Below are 7,619 nucleotides of genomic sequence, written 5' to 3' on the forward strand. Positions count from 1 at the left end.
CCCTCCTCTCAGAATGTATGTCATAGTGATTCACACCCTTAGATCAGCAGGTCCTTTTGTATCTTTCCCAGATAATATCATTTCTATTAGCAGCTATGGCTGAGCATAGTGGAAGAGCTCCTTGAGTCACGTGCCTGATCTCTTCAGCACTAGCAAACATAGACACATTCTTGACATTGTCTCTAGAGCATACCTTCCTGACAGTGCCTCTCCTAATTTTAGTGTCTTTTGCAATCTTGATAGGCTGAGAATTTCCCTGGACCTTTTTTGCTTAACAGTCCTTTCCTCAGTTTATCCCTTTCCTCTAACATTTTACTAGTGCTTGGATTGGAGTCCAATATAAAAATGAAAAATATAGGACTAAGATGGGAGGTAAAAAAATGATGGACTTTCTAGGCAAGTTGTTGAGGTTTTCTGAAGGATGAGCCTTGGGAAGGGAGTCTTATATATGATCAGATTGGTGGGATTAAAAAGAAATTTTTTATCAGTTTTTCTAAAAATCCAACATTAGTGTCAAGTGTGCACTGAAGCAGGGCGAGTCTACTCCTCTAGGTTTGAAATAGGTTTTCTTAACATGTTGATCTGTTTTTCTTTATCTTTTAAATAACCTGTCTGAAAAAACAGGGATTTTGTGTTTTAAGATAGTTTCCTAACTGCATTTATTAGGTTTTTGTTTTTGTTTTTGTTTTTGTTTTCTGAGATGGAGTCTCACTCTGTTGCCCAGGCTGGAGTGCAGTGGTGCGATCCAGCCACTGTAGTAAGCAAGGTTGCTCACTGCAACCTCCACCTCTCAGGTTCAAGTGATTCTTGTGGCTCAGCCTCTCGAGTAGCTGGGATTACAGGTGCCCACCACCACACCCGGCTAATTTTTGTCTTTTTAGTAGAGATGGAGTTTCACCATGTTGGCCAGGCTGGTGTCCAACTCCTGACCTCAAGTGATCTGCCTGCCTTGGCATCCCAAAGTGCTGGGATTACAGGCATAAGCCACTGCACCCAGCTATAATTAGCAATAATATAATAAATTTAGTTTGTACAATGGTTTTGAACCAAGATCCCAAGCCTAGGGGCCACCAGCTAAACAAATCACAAGACTATGGGGCAATTGAATGAGACCTCTTGCAGTCTTTGAGTAGCATTTTAGGACTGGGTTGAATTAAAGTAGAGTGCCGACTCTATAAAAGGGACCACTAGGTGAAGGAAAGGATTTGGGGGTCAGGTTCTGTCAAGTGAAAAATGTAGACATTAAGGGGATAAGAGTCTTATTATGATATGAAGAGTAATTCTGACATCTTGGGAAAGCTGTCTACAGTGTGGAAACATCAATTTCTCATCCTGATTTGTTGTTCGAATGTCTCTGGTTATGGCATTGGACAGTTTGGTGAACTTTTCGTTTGGTCCATACATCAGGCACAAGACTTGTTCCTTAAAATTTATGCACTTTTATCTTATAGGACTTGTAAATCAAAAATAAAATCCTAAGCCCCCTGCCCCCAACCATCTGAATAGACTCCCTCCTAAGCCAGGGATCTTTTAAAATTTAACCTGAGAGACGGTTTCAGGCCATGACAGGAAGTGGGGGTCAGGCATGCCTCATTATACGTCTCTGGCATCAACATCAACACAGACTTGAAGTCTGATAAGAAACATGTTGTCCGGGCGCGGTGGCTCACGACTGTAATCCCAGCACTTTAGGGGGCTGAGGAGGGCGGATCACGAGGTCAGGAGATCCACACCATCCTGGCTAACACAGTGAAACCCCATCTCTACTAAAAATACAAAAAAATTAGCTGGGCATGGTGGCATGCACCTGTAGTCTCAGCTACTCGGGAGGCTCAGTCAGGAGAATCACTTGAACCCGGGAGCCGGAGGTTGCAATGAGCAGAGAAGGAGCCACTTCACTGTAGCCTGGCAACATAGTGAGACTCCATCTCAAAAAAAAAACCAAAAAACCAAAAAACAAAAAAAAAAACAGGTTACATGTTACAACCTATTCTCTCTGGAGCATAGTACCTGAAGGCTTCCTCCACAAATAAGAACTTAAAAACAATTAAGAATGACTCACTTCACATAATCAGCTTTCACAATGGTTAAAGCAGAGTCCTGCTTAGCAATGCACAAAAATTCTCCTTTGTGACCCATTCATTTTACTGCTGTTGACTTTCTTGCTTATGCTTTCAGACAGAGTCACTGTCCTTTGACCAGACTTGAGTCGGGCTCCTCTGAGTCCTGTTTCTGACTAGGTCCCAACCTCGGGCTCTGTCCTTCATCCAGGGACTCTGCCCATTTAGCCTGTTTCAGCAAAAGTCCTATCAAGTCTGTTTAGCCAGAATCCCCCTGCACCTGAGGTTTCCTCCAAGTAATTTCCCATCTTCTGACCCCCCGACCCTACTCCTTGACTACAAATCCCCACTTGTCCTTGGTGGAGTTGAAGTCGATCCCAATATCACTCTCCCACCGCAAGACCCCATTGCGGTGGTCCCTGTACCTATCACAGTAGTCCTGCCTCTGAGTAAAGTCATCCTTACGATCTTTTTTTTAATTTTCAGAGACAAAGTCTCACTCTGTCACTCAGGCTGGAGTGCAGTGACCCAATCCTAGCTCACTGCAGCCTCAAACTCCAGGGCCCAAGCAATCTTCCTGACCCAGCCTTCTGAGTAGCTGGGACTACAGGTATGCACCACTAAATGCAGCTATCTTTTTTTTTAATTCTCTACAGACCCAGGAACTTGATGTGCCCGGCAGATTTTTCTACTTTTTGTAGAGACAGGGTTTCCCCATGTTGCCCAGACTGGTCTTGAACTCCTGGGCTCAACCAATCCTCTTGCCTCAGGCTCCCAAAGTCCTGGGATTACAGGCATGAGCCACTGCAGCTGGCCCTTCCTTACAGTCTTTAATAAGTGCAATAAATACTTGTTTGCTTTAACATTTCCCTGTGTCTTCAGTCTCCTGAAGTGTTATATGCCTCACATTTCCTTACTCCACCCGATATAAAAATTCCTTTCTTTCATCGGGTGCAGTGGCTTACACCTGTTATTCCAGCACTTTGGGAGGCCAAGGTGGGCAGATAACCTGAGGTCAGGAGTTCAAGCCCAGCCTGGCCAACATGGGGAAACTACATCTCTACTAAAAGTACAAAAATTAGCCGGGTGTGGTGGTGTGCACCTGTAGCCCCAGCTACCCAGGAGGCTGAGGAGGAGATTTGCTTGAACCCAGGAGGCAGAGGTTGCAGTGAGCTGAGATCATGCCACTGCACTCCAGCCTGAGTAACAAAGTGAGACTCTGTCTCAAAAAAAAAAAAATCCTTCTTTCAACACTTTGGCGTTATTACACCATTGTTTCCTTGCCTCCAGTGTGGTGTTTGAGAGACCCGATGTCAGTTTAATTATTTTTCCTCTGTAAGTAACCTGTTATTTCTCTCTGATAGTTTTTAAAATATTTTTTCCTTGTCTTTCACAATTTTACATTTCACTGTTCCTGTGTGTGTACTATAATACTTTTAAATCTTAAATCATTTTTCTAAATCTGAGAAATTCTCATTCATTACTTATTTAAGTACACTCTCCTTTTTAGTGACTATATTCTCTTCTTATAAGGCTACTATTAGATGTGTTTTGACATTTATTCTTCTATCCTCCCTATTAATTAACTTTTCTTTCATTTACTTCTTCTCTATCCATTACCGATTACTTTCATGAATTCTTTAGACGCATTTCCTCAGCTCAGTAATTGCTTTTTCAACTATATCAGTTTTAACATCCAATCTATTCCGCTGAATTATTTATTTGAGTAGTTAATGTTTTCATATCCAATCTATCCAATAGGTTTTTCTTTTTATTTATTTATTTATTCATTTATTCATTTGAGACGGAGTCTTGCTCTGTCGCCCAGGCTGGAGTGCAGTGGCGCGATGTTGGCTCACTGAACCTCTGCCTCCCGAGTCCAAGCAATTCTCCTGCCTCAGCCTCTTGGGTAGCTGGAACCACAGGCATGCGACACTATGCCAGGCTAATTTTTGTATTTTTAGTATAGACGTGGTTTCACCTTGTTGGCCAGGCTGGTCTCAAATTCCTGACCTCAGGTGATCCGCCTGCCTCAGCCTCACAAAGTGCTGGGATTACAGGCGTGAGCCACAGTGCCTGTCCTTTTTTTCTTTTCATTTATTTTCTTTTTTAAGACAGAGTTTCACTCTTGTTTCCCAGGCTGGAGTGCAATGGTGTGATCTCACCTCAGTGCAACCTCCGCCTCCTAGGTTCGAGTGATTCTCCTGCCCCAGCCTCCTGAGTAGCTCGGGTTATAGGCATGCACCACCACATTCTATCATTCATTAGCATCTGTATCCCTTCCTTGAACACCAAAAGAACTTCTCTTTTCTTTCCTGTCCCTCCTCCCATCTTCCAAGTTTATAGTACCGGGAATTTTGGTTCAAGACTGTAATTTTTTAAATTTACAATCTAAAGTTTACACTTTTCAATACATTTTACTATTTTTCTCCTCACCATTGCTTACTGAAATCACCTCCTTCCTCCTAAATTTAGTTTTCCCTTCTCATAGAACTGTATACCAATAATTTTTTCTGGAGGGTATATGTGTGGTGAGTTTTCTGAAATATTTTTTCCCTTATTCTGGATTATCCTGGCTGTATATAGATATCTAGGTTCAGCATTTTTGTTTGCTTGTTTTTGTTCTCGTTTTGTTTTTTTTGAGACAGTGTCTGACTCTGTCACCCAGGCTGGAATGCACTGGCACCATCTCGGCTCACAGCAATCTCCACCTCCTGGACTCAAGCGATTCTCCTGCCTCAGCCTCCCAAGTAGCTGGGACTACAGGCACGTGGCACCACACCTGGCTAATTGTTGTATTTTTTGTAGAGATGGGTTTTGCCTTGTTGGCCAGGCTGGTCTCAAACTCCTGAGCTCAGGCAATCCTCCTCTCTCGGCCTCCCAAATGCTGGGACTACAGGCGTGAGCCAACGCACCTGGCCCAAAGTTATCTTTAATCAGCTCCTTGAAAAACTTCTTCATTGCATTTTCTCTTCTCCCTTTCTCTCTGGGACCTTTCAGGATTTTATCTTTATCCTAGAAATTTTACTCCTAGGGTGTGGGGGGGGGCAGAGGGGGGGTGCATGCATGTGTGTGTGTGCACATGTGTGTTAATCAAGCTGAGAACTAGGTGGCTCTTTTCAGGTCAAGATTCATGTCTTTGTTTAGTTGAGAAAATTCTAGAACATTATTTCTTCAAGTACTGCCTTCTCTCCAGTCTTTATGTGTGTGTGTATATATATATATATATATATATATATTTTTTTTTTTTTTTTTTTTTTTTTAGACGGAGTTTTGCTCTGTCACCCAGGCTGGAGTGCAGTGGCACAACTGCAGCTCACTGCAATCTCTGCCTCCTGGGTTCAAGTGATTCTCCTGCCTCAGCCCCCCAAGTAGCTGGGATTTCAGGAGCCCACCACCGCACTGGGCCAATTTTTGTATTTTTAGTAGAGACGGGGTTTCACCATGTTGGCCAGGCTGGTCTCTAATCCTCACCTCAGGTGATCTGCCTGCTTCGACCTCTCAAAGTGCTGGGATTACAGGCGTGAGCCACGGCGCCCAGTCCAGTCTTTTTGTTCTCTACCTTTGGAACTTCTATTGGATGAATGTTGAAACTTCTGGGATCTATTCTCCATTTCCTTTATTATTTTCATTTCATACTTTCTATTTTGTAATCCTTCTCCGCTATAAGGTGATGTAGTGCCGTGCCTGAACACGTTTTTTCATTGGGTTGTTCCAGTTTCTTTTACTGATATGCGAAAGCTTTGTTATATATTAGAGATGGTTACTTTTAATTTATTGCGGATCCTTCACCATTTTTCCCAAAATTTGCCTTTTAAAACAGTTGTTTATGGTGTCTTTTGACTTAGATGATACTTTAATTTCTACGTCTTTAACTATGTCAGATTCATTGTTCATAGCCTTGGAGTAATGTCAGGAAGTGCCTATGCCAACTCAAGATGTCTTACACTGTAATATTTTCCTAAATTTTCATCTAGTTCTTTATGACTTCACGTTTTCACATTTAAGTCGCTGAATTTATAGAATTTATTATTTTATGTGGTTTAAAGTAAGGATTTAATCTTTATTTTTTCAAATGGATAGACACTTGTCAAGCAATCATTTATTATACAACCCATCTTTTGCCCAGTGTTTGGAAATGCATGCTGAAGTCTGCACATAAATTAGTCTGTTTCTTGATTTTCTATTTTGTTTCACTAATAAATCTGTTTCTATGTGTATTCATTTTTTATTGTTGCTGCAACAAATTGGCAATAGCTAATACAATGCTGGGCCTGGGGGCTCATGCCTGTAATCCCAGCACTTTGGGTGGCCTAGGTGGGCGGATCCCTTGAGGTCAGGAGTTCAAGACCAGCCTGGCCAACACGGCAAAACCCCGTCTCTACTAAAAATACAAAAATCAGCCGGGTGTGGTGGCACCTGCCTGTAATCCCAGCTACTCGGGAGGCTGAGAAAGGAGAATCCCTTGAACATGGGAAGCAGAGATAGAACTGAGCCGAGATCACCCCACTGCACTCCAACTTGGGCCACTAAAGTGAGACTCCGTCTCAAAAAATATATATGTAGCTAAGACAAGTTTTGAAAAAGAAGAATAAGGTGGGAGGAATGGCTCTACCATATTTGAATACTTCTTATATAGCTACAGGAATCAAGACTGTAGTATTAGGAGAAGAATAGACACGTAGATCACTGGAACAAAATAGAGAACCTATATAAGAACGTAGAAATAGCCCCACACTGATTTTTTACAAAGAGACAAAAAGAAGGAAGGATCGTCTGCTTAACAAATGGTGCTGGAGCAGTTGCATATTCATAGGCCAAAAAAAAAAAAAAGACCTTTATACAAAAAAAAAAAAAAACCTCAAGTGAATCATAGATTTAAATGTAAAATATAAAACTAAAAAAAAACTTTCACAAGAAAACATAGGAGAAATGTCTGAGATCTAGGGCATAGCGAACGGTTCAAAAAACATAATCCATAAGGAAAATATAAATTAGATTTCATCCAATTTAAAACTTTTGCTCTGCAAGAAACCATGTTAAAAGGATGAAAAAACAGGGTATAAACTGGGAGAAAATGTTTGCAAACCATGTTTCCAACAGAGGGCTTACATCCAGAATATATAATGGATATGTATACTACTCTCAAAATTCAATGGTAGGCCGGGCGTGGTAGCTCACACTTGTAATCCCAGCACTTTGGAGGTGGAGGTGGATGGAGGGTAGATCCCTTGAGGCCAGGAGTTCGAGACCAGCCTGGGCAACAAAACCCATCTCTACTAAAAATACCAACATTAGACAGGCATGGTGGCTCGCTCCTGTAATCCCAGCTATGCGGGAGGCTGAGACACGAGAATCGCTTGAACCTGGGAAGCGGAGATTGGAGTGAGCCAAGATCATGCCACTGCATTCCAGCCTGGGTAACAGAGCAAGACTCTGTCTCAAAAACAAAACAGCGGGAAAAACAAACAAACAAATAATCCAATTAGAAAATTATGAAAAGATATGAACATACATTTCACTGAAGGGGAAATAAGCAAATAAGTACATGAAAAGATG

This window comes from Homo sapiens, chromosome X (assembly GCF_000001405.40).
Source record: "Homo sapiens chromosome X, GRCh38.p14 Primary Assembly".
Classification (NCBI taxonomy): Eukaryota; Metazoa; Chordata; class Mammalia; order Primates; family Hominidae; genus Homo; species Homo sapiens.